Genomic DNA, 12,093 nt, shown 5'->3' with positions numbered 1-12,093 from the left:
CAAGGGCACGGAGGCACAGACAGCAGAGGGCGGCGTGTGGAGGCTGCCGTTACCTTCTCATGTTTTTAATGTAACAGCCAGCAGCATGTTTACGAAACTCATGCTCCTTCAAGTATACACATGAAACACAAGCCATGGGACGTGTGGCGCTGTTCGCAGAGGTCGGGGCTGGGTGGGGGGCTGGGACACGGAGACCCCAACCGCGTGCTCAGGCCCCAGCGTTACTCGGGCCCCTGATGACCCTAAATGACTGGGGTGATGCAGGCATCCCTGCCGAGGGCGGCACTTGGTATCTGGGGAGAGGGTTGGCGGGAGTCGCATCTATAAAGTTTCATTTTTATAATCATATGACTTAGTTTAACAAGCAGGAGAAAAATCCATTGTATTACTTCTTTTGTTAAAATAATTAATTATAGCTCAGCACCTAACTTAGCCAAATTGATTGAATCACATTAACAATGAAATCTTAAGAGTGTTAAAGACAGAAAACTGAAGACAACTTGAGGTCCAGGCTCTTTCATTTACAAATAATGAAACAGCTGAGGCCCAGACACCCATGCAGAGGGGCCATGCCCTCCCCGCACCCCTGCTCCCCACCCCACTGGGCCCTGTGCCCAGGGGCCACACTTTCTCCTGGCAGCAGGTCTGTGTTGTTTAATTAACTGCAGTTCATTGGGAAGAAGCAGAAGCCATGGCACATGGGCGTCTTCCTGCCTTTGCCCCGCATCAGAGCTGCCCCAGGGGAGCTGAAGCTGCCGCCGGAGGGGCCATGAGTGCTGTCAGTGGGCGGGGCCTGGGCTGCCCCCAGAGCACTGTGGGTCTGGGCCATCTCCTGGGCTGACCCGGGAAGCTCTGGCCACCCGGAGCCTGTCTCGGCATTTGTACGGGGGATAAAGAGACGCTTCCTCCAAGGCTGTTTTCTGAATTCAGCAGTGCTCAGGGCAGCTGCGATGGAGTCAGCAGCTACACCAGGTGGGTCTTTAGAGCAGAAGCAGCTGAGGGAAGAGACAAGAAGGAAACGTCTCATGGAAGCCGAGACTGAAATAGTAACGGGCCGGGAGGCACTCACAGGCAGCAGCGAGGAGTGGGGAGGCGGGGACCCCACGGGACAGGCTGGGGTGGAGGCGGGGACCCTGTGGGACAGGCTGGATGGGTGGAGGCGGGGACCACATGGGCCAGGCTGGCTGGGCAGAGGCGGAGATTCCGTGGGCCAGGCTGGCTGGGCGGAGGCGGGACCTTGTGGGCCAGACTGGGTGGAGGCGGGGACCCCGTGAGGCAGGCTGGATGGGTGGAGGTGGGACCCTGTGGGGCATGCTGGACGGTGCATGCCAGTTTTCCTAAGTCCTACCTGACTGGAAGGGCCTATGTTGATGTGGGCACAGGCCAACCCACTTCAACTCTCTAAATAGACAAATTATATGACAAAAATACTATCTCCGTGGGAGCACTGCCACTTAAATACACACAGAAGGAAGCGATAAAGAAGAAACACGGAAGAACAGGAAGGGAGAGGGAAACTCGTCTGTACCGGAAAAAATACGGGTTCCAAATGGCACCAGCACCTACGCAACCTGCTTTAAACTCCACTGTTGAGATGAAGCTCATACACTTACTTATAGAAAGTACAAAAACCGTAGACACAGCACATCCCATTTTGTTCACAAAATATGCACAGGCGGGCACGGTGGCTCACACCTGTCATCCCAGCACTTTGGGAGGCCCAGGTGGGAGGATTGCTTGAGCCCAGGAGTTCAGGACCAGCCTGGGCAACACCGCGAGGCCCCATCTCTACAAAAATTTAAAAATTAGCTGGGCAGAATAGGGCACACTTGTGTCCCCAGCTACTGGCGAGGCTGAGGCATGAGAACTGCTTCAGCCTGGGAGGTCAAGGCTGCAGTGAGCCATGATCAAGCCACTGGACTCCAGCCTGGATGACACAGCAAGACCCTGTCTCAAAAAAAAAAAAATAAATAAATAAATAAATATATATATATACACATACATATACACACACACACACACACACACAAACACATATATCCACAATATAATGTACTCTGTGTGTGTGTGTGTGTCTGCGTGAACATCCACACACAGCAGCAAATGGAGCAGGACGCATGCCCAATGCCAGCAGTGGTTATGTCTCAGTTGGTGAGACTACACTAGGTTTTATTTCCTTTTTTATATTGTCCAAATGTCCACGATGAGTATGAAGTTCCTTTATGATGAGAAAATATATATATTAAAGCAAACTCCATTTAAGAGATTAAAAATGAAACAGCAGGCCGGGCGCGGTGGCTCACGCCTGTAATCCCAGCACTTTGGGAGGCCACGGTGGGCGGATCACCTGAGGTCAGGAGTTCAAGACCAGCCTGGACAACATGGTGAAATCCCGTCTCTACTAAAAAAAATACAAAAACATTAGCCAGGCATAGTGGCCGGCGCCTGTAGTCCTAGATACTCGGGAGACTGAGGCATGAGAATCGCTTGAACCTGGGAGGCGGAGGCTGCAATGAGCTGAGATCGAGCCACTGCACTCCAATCTGGGTGACAGAGCGAGACTGTCTCAAAAAAACAAAAAACAAACAAAAAACAACCAGTAAACTTGAAGTACACAATTTTTCACATGTGCTCTTAAGTTTCTTTTAAAACATACAGCTGTTAAGCTTCCCTCGAAATATGCCAGTGTCAAAAGTAAAACAGAAAATCACAGAGAATGTGGATGTCAGCTTGGCTGGGATTGTTTTCAGTGCAGAAAGGCTCACGGCTCCTCCTGGCTGCTCTCCCTGCCTAGGGGGACAGGGCAGGCCAGCGGCTGGGCAGCCCAGCTCCGGCATCCTGCATCCCGCAACCCGCGTGCATGTGCGGGGCTGGCGAAGCCTGTGGAGACCCCGACGGAGCCAGGGCTAGGGAGGGTAGGCAGCACGAGGCCAGGCACCAGGGTACACTGCCTGCAGGCAGAGGGACGGAGAGCCAGATGTCAGTGTACCCAGCACAGACGCACAGCAGAGCAAGGGCAGCCCAGTGGGGAGGAACGAATCAGACACCCAGTAGGTGGGGAGGCCTGGCAATGACCCCATGGACGAAGGCTGCCAGCCCCCTGGGCAGTTGCAAACGCCCGGCCAGCGGGGAGCCACAGACCTTATGGGCACAGGAAATGGCCGTGGGGAAGAGAGGCCGGTATGGACACGGGAACGGGCTGTGGGGAGGAGAGGCCGGTATGGACACGGGAACAGGCTGCGGGGAGGAGAGGCCGGTACAGCAGCTCCAGCTGCCTTTGCCTGTGGCTGGCCGTTCCCAGGACCCTTCTGAGCACCCTGACTCACTGGCTCTGCGGACAACGGGCCGTGTAGGCCGGGACTCCTTCCTCTGAACACTGGCCTGCCCTGGGGCCTCCAGCTTTCCTCAAGGGGCTTCTCAGGTGAAGGCAAGAAAAGCGACAGCATTGAACTGGAACCCTGTGAGTGCCAGGAGCTTCAGGGGAGGCCTGAGCACCACTGAAGGTGCAGGTGAGCTCACTTCACCCAGGGCCAGGGAGGAACCTTTTCCATCTGATAACCACTTGGAAAAGGTTCTGGGAAGGGGATGGGTCCTTGGGGGAAGGGCGCTGAAGTCGCAGGGTGGAAGACGCTGCTTTCTGACAGAGCCACCTCTTGGGACAGGGAGTGAAGGTGCCAGCACCGCTCTCCATGGAGGCCACCGATCGTCCCACCAACAGGAGACGACCTCAAGACTCCTCCCCGGTGTCCTGTCCACCTGCCTCCAGCCGCCCGAGATGGGCTCTTCCCTGAGGTTTCTGAAGGGACCAGCTTCCAACTGCACACACTGAGTGGGTGCACAAGACTCCCCGACCCGCAGGGACACACACTGAGTGGGTGCACAAGACTTCCCTGACCCGCAGGGACACACACTGCTGAGCTCAGAAGCATGTTCATGTCTTCAAAACTCCCTTGTGAGCCATGTGGCATCTTATGTTGGCCTAGAGATTTCTACTGCTTTTATAGGACTAAACAGAACACTCAAAAAATCCAACGTAGGGATCAATCCAACTGTATCAATAATAAGTGAACATCAGGCCGGGCACGGTGGCTCATGCCTGTAATCCCAGCACTTTGGGAGGCCGAGGCGGGCGGATCACCTGAGGTTGGGAGTTCCAGACCTGCTTGGCCAACATGGCAAAACCCCATCTCTACTAAAATTACAAAATTAGCCGGGCGTGGTGGTGCATGCCTGTAATCCCAGCTACTCGGGAGGTGGAGGTTGCAGTGAGCCGAGATCACGCCACTGCACTCCAGCCTGGGCAACAAGAACGAAACTCTGTTTCAAAAAAACAAAAACAAACAAAACTAAAGACCTAAACATCAATGGTCTCCATGTGCCAATTACAAGACAGCGTCAGAGAGGATCCAAGACACCACCCAAGAAGACGTTGCCTCCAAGAAACCACTTTAAACATGAGCACATGGATCAGAAGCGCAGGGATGGGAGAGATGCACGCAGCAACCGGTGCCGTGCAGGAGATGTGGGAGCAGCTACAGCCATCCACACAAAAGGTCATCTCCAATCCGAGGACGGTCATTATCCTCAGGCACCGGCTGTATGCACGCGGTGCCAGGGAAGCTGTGGCAGGTGACTGGGGGAGTTGGAAACGGCCCGGTGACAGCAGAAGTGTGACCCAGCCACGCGTCTGCCACGACCCCGCACACATGCACCGCCCGCTAACAGGCTGTGGCCAATCGCGAGTCCAGGAGCCACGCCCAGGCTCTTGTGCTTGGGACACCATCACAGGGGAGGTCGGCGCAATCAGTGGCCTCGGAGGACGGGGTGAGGAGTCCCCACTGGGGATGCCGCAGAGCCCTGCCCTCGGTGCTGTGAGCGGGTCTGGGCAGGTGCTGACCACCCCCCGGGAACTCAGCACAGCACTGACTCCCAGGAGCCTGCTCTGTGCCAGGTGATGGTGACAGCAAGGGGACAGCAAAGGGCGGGAGGGTCCGTGTGAGACGACCTTCCCTGGGCTGTCTCAGCGCCAGGGTGTGTGAGGTGGCCCTCAGCCTGTCCAGCACCGTCCCCGGCCGCCAGGGCTCTGACGTGACCTGACACGTTGGGTGACAGCACATGGTGCTTTGGCGAGTACTTGGTGATCCTGTTTGTTACTGGTTCTGTTACTCTATGCACTATTTTTATTTGTTTCATTCTAAGAAACAGGAACCCCAGCCTCCCAAGGCCTGGGGACCCGCAGTGGCTCCAGCAGACCCCAGCCTCCCAAGCCCTGGGGACCCACAGTAGCTCCAGCTGCGCCAAAGGCACTCACCGGCTTGCACAGGTCCCGGTCAGTTTTCGCTTCCATCTCCCAGACATGGTGGCCATCTGGAAGAAAGGAGCAGGAAACGTCTGTGACTCTGTGTGGTGGGGAGCCCCCTCCCCAGACACCCCCACGTGATCCAGACCCAGGGCCCTGAGCCAGGAGGGCGCCTTGTCCCAGGAGACCCACGTAGGCCCATCCCAGGGCTTTGTCGAGGGCAGCACCTCAGGAGCCACGTGCCCTGGCAGGGCCCCGAGCTCGACACCAAAGTTGCCCTGGGAGCCTGGAGAAGCTGAGGACACGCGGCTCAGGGCTTGTTCTGACCCCAGCCCGGCGTAGGAGGGACTACAGGGCAGGGGCATCCTCAGGAATCCGTCCTGGCCCTGCATCTGCTGGCCTCTCACAGCCTCAGGACAGGTCACGGGAGGGTCTCTATGCCCTCGTCCTCTCCAGGGAGAGCAGGTGTGAGGGGGAGCAGGTACCCCATCAGCAGAGCGTGTGCAGGGCGTCTGTGCGTGGACCTGGGACCCGGCTCTGCAGTTCCCAGCCCAGCCTCCCAGGGATGCAGGAGGTGTGAGAGTAGTGACGGGGGGCCGGGGGCTCCACGCCAGGGTGCGACGCCTGCTCGTGCTGGGGTCTACTCTGGTGGATGAGGGCCTGGCCGCTGGCCCTGCCTGTGTGCAAAGGAACCACTGGGTAAATGAGAAGAGCCTTCCTCTGACAACTTCTTGCCCATCAGGAGACAGAAATGCAAAACACGAGGTATTTTTGGCATTTCCCCAGTGGCCATTTGCATGTTTTTAAAAAATAAAAAGGCTCCCAGAGGTGTAGTGAAAGGACGCGTTGTGCTCTCTGCTCCAGGCCTGGCAGAGTGGGGGCTCCAGGCGCACACGGACAAGGCGGCCCCACCACAGCCTGGGTGTGTGCACGGCCTGGCCCCTCAGATGGGCTGAGTTTGGGGCAATTATCTCAAATTAACAGATGTCAATCTCCTACAGAGTCTCTTCCTGCCTTTTATCTTCTCCAAAATAAAGTCTGTTCCCAAAATGAACAGTTACAGGTATACACACTTAAGTTTATCCTTATGCTCTGTCTCCAAAGAAGAAAATGTGTGTCTGTTACAAACCCTCAATTACTGATAAATCAGACAAAATCTCCTTTTTCTCTGTTACAGTGCCGGGCTGCTGCCTGGGTGGAGGGTGGAGAGGAAATGTGAGTCACACAGGACCCCAGAGCCGCCCAGCCAAGCCCTGGCCATGCCAGCCCGGGAGGCCCGAGGTCCCCACGCAAATTACCCACCAGATGAACCCACTCGATAGAGCCTGGCATCCCTCTCTCCTCTAGGAAAAAAATTACAGGAAACTAAAAAGTACACTCAGTTGCGCTTGAAGCCATCTGAGTTTCATGAAGCAGCAAGTCCTCCAGGCCCTGGAAAGCTCAGGAGCTGGGAAGAAAGAGGCGTTTTCACTCCAGCACAGGTGCTGATGCCACAGGATTCCCAGAAGCCCCCAGCCCAGATGCACCACTCAGAAGCCCCTCCACCCCCACTTCATAAAAATCCAAATCACTCTGTGTGTAACTAAGTCTTCTGGTTGTTTGGCACCTTTTGAAAATGACTTTTGAACTTTTCTTATGACAAAGTCCATCTTTGGGGTGAGGCCCCGTCCACACCCCACAAAAGGCTGTGGTCCTCTGAAGCTCCCGGGCGCAACAGGCTATAGTTTGCTTCCCGCCCAGCCCAGGAAGCTCAGAGTCACAACTTCAGCTTCCCTAGGAACTTCCCTGACGCTGTGGAGGCCTTTGGCACTGGCAAGGGGAGGGAGGTTCAGTGACTGTGCTGAGCAGGAGGGACACTGAGGCGCACACGGGGCCAGGATGTCGCGTTTAATGACACCCCGAGGGGACGCCATTTTTGCAGCCGAGGCCAACACAGCCTGCTCCTCTCTTTATGTCCCGAGAAGCAAGAGGGACTCCAGCCGTCTCCCCCGCGGCCTCCTCCAGGTGGCTGCCCCGCAGCGGTGAGTCCATGAAAAGCAAATGGAACGACGGCATGGAGGCGTCTTTTCCCACCCGTGCCTCGTGGGCCTGTGGGGAACCATCCTTGCCGGAGCGGCCCCAAGGGGAGCCACGTCTGCGTGGCCAGCCAGGCCCAGCTCAGCAGCTGCCATGGAGCAGCCTCCACCGCACACCTGGGAGCACCCGCACCCTGCAATTCCTGCGCAGGTGGGAGCAGATACGCTTAGACTTCCCCTAAAAGTGCGGGGAACCGACAAACATCCCTGCCTTCCTCAAAGACCCCGGCTGAGCCAGCGCCTGTGGCCTTCCCTCTTGGAGGTGGGGCCTCTCCCCGTGGTGTCCGACGTCTGTGGCCGTTTCAGGTCGACCAGGGTGAGGGTGAGGGCAGGCTTTCTGTTTCTGCTTAAGGATCATAAAGTAATTGTCTTTCAAAAGCAATAGTATTCACGGCCAGAAATGTCTATCTAGCAATTGCTTCCAGAACAAGACAAAGCGCCGAGACTGCTGAAAGATGGAAATAACCTCGCATCTCAGGAAAGGAGACGCAGGGCCGCGTCCCGCCGGCAAGAGCATCGCCATGGCGGCTCCCAGCTCCGTGGAGGCCCGGACGGGCAGCGCCGGCCCCCGTGCTGTTCAAAACTCAGCCCCTGGCAGGAAGGAAGGCAGCCGGTCCTGAAAGGGCCTTTGTGTTCAGCCTTATCAGAGCTCCGAGTCCTTAGTAGGAAACTGCCCGAGTGCAGGAGTAAAAATATTCCAGATCATTAGGGAATTCCCTGCAGTCTGAGTCATCGGGAGGCTTCCCTGCCACACCCGCGAGGTTTCCACACAGGCAGGCCTGCGGGCCCAGGAGCCTCCCAGACCGGCCAGGACCCGCCGCCCGGAGCCGGGCCACCCCCACGCCGGTGCTGATGCTGAGCCACTGTTTCCACAAAGAAAGCCACGAGGGCCGCTGGTGGAAGCAGCAGCGTCCCTGGGTCCCACGGTGCCCTCGAGCCCTGCTCCCCACGGCGTCTCCTGCCCTGCTCCCCAAAGCATCCTCGTGCCCTGCTCCCCGCGGCGTCCTCGTGCCGTGCACCCCACAGCATCCTCATGCCCAGAAGCGAGCGTCCCTGGGGCGTCTCATCCATCCCCGGCTCTCCCCCAGGAGTCTGTCCCAGCCTGGCTCCCAGAGGAGATTCTGGAGGGGAAACAGCCACCCAGCCCTGCTGCACATCTGCCTGCAGGGCCTCACACGGAGCCACCCTGTGACCCACAGCCCTTTCACACCGAGGCATGTGCTCAGGAGACAGGCAGGCGTCCACACAGGACTCACGCACTGAGGTTCATGGCGGCTTTTCCACGATCATCTCCACAGGGTGGACGTGGCCTAGTGCCATCGACAGACAGGTGTGGGCAGCCACACGGTGGGCTTCCCTCAGCCACAGAAAGACCCCACGTCCCGACCTGTGCCAACGAGGGGACCTGAGGACCCTACGCCCTGACCCACACCAACGAGGGAACATGGAGGATGCCACGCTCCACAGAAGCTGCCAGGCACCACAGCCGGCAGGATGGGGTTCCCCAGCAGGCCAGCAGGGAGCAGCCAGACCAGGCGAGGCCACGGCGAGGGGGCATTGGGGTTGTCGGAGCCGGGGTGGGGGAAGGGAGAGCAGGGGTGGCCACTCATGGGCAAGGGTTTCTTTCTGGGGACAAGAAAATGTTCTGAAATTGGTGGTGGCCGCATAATTATGTGAAGCCACCAAAACCCACCGAATTATACACTTTGAGTGAATTAAATGGTGTATAGATCATATTTCGATAAAGCTGATATAAAAAAGAAACTAGCCAACATGACCATGGGTGACTTTGTCGTGTATGATCCCAAAAGGCCTGAGAAGGGAGAGGAGGGAGGGGAGCCAGAAGCCCGGCCCCTCCTCCTGCAGTGGGGACTGACGTGACGCGTGGCCTCCCCACACCAGCGGGGCCCAGGCAGGGGGAGTCTGAGAGTCGCCCCTAGCGCTATCCAGAATGCGGCTTGATGAGAACTGTGGGGTCATCACTCAATTCTAGGGGTCCTGGACCATCTGGGCCACTGAGCCATCCTCAGGGCATGAGGAAGACACGGGCAGGTGTCTCTTCCCCGGGCGCTGCCCTCCTTGCCTTCCCTGTGTGGTCTCTGGGAGCAAACAGAGAAGCCTGGGGGTTCAGCCCGGCCACCTGTCCTGCTCCCAAAGACGCCATGTGGTGACAAAGCAGCCCCAACTCTCCTCTCTCGGAGCACACGGCGACAGTGATGTCTGTCCACACTCACAGGCGCCCAGCAATGTCACCTTCTCCCTGAAAACACAAATCTGAAAGATCTGCATTTGGCCTTTAAACTGTTGGGATGGACACCTCTGAAGGTGTTGTCATTGCGATGCTGCCTTCGGGGCCAGCATCCAACATCTTCAGGAGGTGACAGCTGAGCTGCTCCACACAGGGAGGCTGCCCGTGCCGCGGACGCTGGAGCTGGGAATTCCCAGCTGTGTCCTCCTTGCTCACCCAGCCCCGTCAGAGGGCACACCACGGAGATGCCACAGAGGCAGCCATCCCCCGGGTCCATCTCCCTCGGCCTACATCCCGCACGACTAAAACAGAACACAGACCCCACCACCCACCTGGACTCCACCTTCCTCCTCGGCCCGCTCCTCTGCCCCAGGCCGAGACCTTCCACAAGGGACAGAGGAGGGACAGCAAGGGCCGAAAGGGGCAGTGCCACTAGTCTGCCTTACAGGGGCCCTGACCCTCACCTCCTCCCCGCCCGCGAGAAAGAACCAGACCCTAGGAAAACAAGGAGCAGGGGCAGCTGGAGGAGGAGAGGGGCAGGGTGGCCAGCGGGCACTGATGCCTCACTGGGGAAATCGGGGCCTGCAGGGGCCTCGGGGCTTCCGCGACACCCTGGGGTGGGTGAACCTCCCCCTGGCCTTGAAGGAACCTGAAGGTGAGCCCGGAGGGAGTGGCTTCAGGCCTGGGGACTCCTCTGACCCGGCTCTCTGGGCGGACAGGAGGGTCCTTGCCTGGCGCTTCCTGCACCTGGATGACATGGCCTCTGCCTGGGGACATGCACCCCACACTCGCCGCGGTGAATGTGTGTGTCCCGGCATAGGACCAGCAGCTGCCAAGGCCACGGTGGTTCCGTGACAGCCCAAAGCCACGGTGGTTCCGTGACAGTTCCGTGTCCTTGCAAGTGTCCTGCCAGCTGCCAGCTAAGCTCTGTGGCTGCTGGGTGGAGCCTCCCAAAACAACGGCCAGGTGCCTGTCAGAGCTTGTGGAAGTCCTGGGAACCACACCGGTCACGGTCCCATGGCAGGGCAGCCTTGGAAAGGCCCGGGCCTTTGGTCCCTTTATTTGAAAAATAACAACATACATTTGGCCCAGATTTGGAGTCCTGGCCCTCCCAGTGAGGTGGGAGGCAGGCCCTCCGCCTGCTGCTGTGTGGAGAAATCTGGAAACCTAGCCTGCGTCTCCTGCAGTGTGGCTAGTGCCTGCCCACAGGCCTGTCTTCTCCACGTGGTAACATCCAGGGCCAGAGGATGGGGCGGCCGTGGGATGGGGCGGCCGTGGGATGGGGCGGCCGTGGGATGGGGCGGCCGTGAGATGGGGGGCGAGCTGGGGTCCCACCATGTTGGGTTTGGGGCGAACCTGGCTGTCTGGGGTTTCTCAGGGGAGGGCTCTGGATGTGCTGGGCTGGGGGCCTCCGGGAGGGGCTCTGTCTACTCGCTCCCACCGTGCAGGCCACCCGGCCTCCCACATTTCTGTGTGTCTCCCTGCGAACCAGGGCAGGGCCCCTGGGGTGGTGGCTGGCACGGCACTGGGTCCAGGCCTGGGCCTAGGAGCCCTGGCACAGCCCGTCTCTGCTTCCCGGGAGCCCCGGCCGCCTGTGAGATGCCAGGCTGCCTCCCCAGAGGGGCCCCGGGAGGCCACGTAGAGGGGCCCTGATTACCTGGAGAAGGAGACGCCGGCCGTCCAGGCCCCAGCTGGCCTGCCAGTCACGGCGGCCACAGAAACGACCACTGACGAGACCCGTGCAGCCCCACCCGCTGAGCCCTGCCCGCTGCGCGATCGCTGGCAAACGGAGTGGGAGTCTTCACCCCCGGCGTCGTAGTGTGGCTTCCGCGCAGCGACACCAAAACAGGCTTCGCTGATGTTTTTAAAAAACGGCACCAGAACAGACGCGTGACTTAAGAAAAGGAGGTTGTTCAGCTCCAGCATCGAGAACTGGCTCATGTTTGATGCATCCACATCTCAGAACCTTGCGCCTTCTGTCTCATCTCAGCCAGGCTCTAGACACAGCCCGAGCTCACGTTTCACGCGGGCGTTCTTCGGGCGTTTCGTTTATGTTGAACGTTAGTGTGTCCCTCAGCAGCTTCAACGTTCACGCGTGTACAGAGAGGTGCCTCACATCGGAACACAGACACAGTGATCTTTAACAGGCGGGAGGGGTGCAGGTGTGAAGGTGGGGAGGGGTGTGGGTGGGAGAGGGGTGTGGTTCCCACTTCCTGCAGCTGAACCCCTGCAGCCTTGGAAACTGGGGGTTCTTGTGATGCTACCAGGGGCTTCTAAACCAACACCCGGCCCTCGGCTCCCCACAGCCAACCTGCCTCCTGGAAGAACATTCCTCACAGATTTTCATCATCGGAAAATGTCGTTTTCCGAGGAAGCTGTAAACTAAGTCCTCAGAGAAAGGCTGACTCCGCTCCCGGCCTTTTGCGCCGCCCTGAGACACCTGGGAGGAAGCTCCGTGGAGCGCAGGCTGA

At 58.4% G+C, this 12,093-nt stretch overlaps 1 protein-coding gene and 1 long non-coding RNA gene across 13 annotated transcripts in view, besides 3 other annotated features; one reads left to right on the top strand and one right to left on the bottom strand.

Moving 5' to 3' along the window:
- Positions 1-12,093, bottom strand: part of NFATC1 (nuclear factor of activated T cells 1) — a 133,394-nt gene that overhangs the window by 62,646 nt on the left and 58,655 nt on the right. For 10 of the 12 annotated variants that reach the window (NM_001278669.2, NM_006162.5, NM_001278670.2 and 7 more), the window contains one exon: positions 5,312-5,367. The exons of the other annotated variants lie outside the window; for them this stretch is intronic. In NM_001278669.2, coding sequence (NP_001265598.1) covers positions 5,312-5,367 — 56 coding nt within the window. The remainder of the gene's footprint in view (positions 1-5,311; positions 5,368-12,093) is intronic. 12 annotated transcript variants of the gene reach the window in all.
- LOC101927897 (uncharacterized) lies at positions 815-9,151 on the top strand. The gene is made up of 3 exons (XR_001753515.2): positions 815-972; positions 3,302-3,509; positions 3,663-9,151. It is a non-coding gene; the product is annotated as an uncharacterized LOC101927897 (long non-coding RNA).
- Positions 874-923: an enhancer, noted in NCBI's record as "active region_13541". NCBI's record gives its function as "activates an Ori minimal core promoter by ATAC-STARR-seq in GM12878 lymphoblastoid cells {active_cell/tissue: GM12878}" and the evidence as "EXISTENCE:reporter gene assay evidence [ECO:0000049][PMID:35858748]".
- Positions 1,074-1,243: a silencer, noted in NCBI's record as "silent region_9575". NCBI's record gives its function as "represses an Ori minimal core promoter by ATAC-STARR-seq in GM12878 lymphoblastoid cells {active_cell/tissue: GM12878}" and the evidence as "EXISTENCE:reporter gene assay evidence [ECO:0000049][PMID:35858748]".
- Positions 5,922-6,281: an enhancer, noted in NCBI's record as "active region_13540". NCBI's record gives its function as "activates an Ori minimal core promoter by ATAC-STARR-seq in GM12878 lymphoblastoid cells {active_cell/tissue: GM12878}" and the evidence as "EXISTENCE:reporter gene assay evidence [ECO:0000049][PMID:35858748]".

This window comes from Homo sapiens, chromosome 18 (genome assembly GCF_000001405.40).
Source record: "Homo sapiens chromosome 18, GRCh38.p14 Primary Assembly".
In the NCBI taxonomy this organism is placed as follows: Eukaryota; Metazoa; Chordata; class Mammalia; order Primates; family Hominidae; genus Homo; species Homo sapiens.
This window is presented reverse-complemented; position numbering and strand designations above follow the sequence as displayed.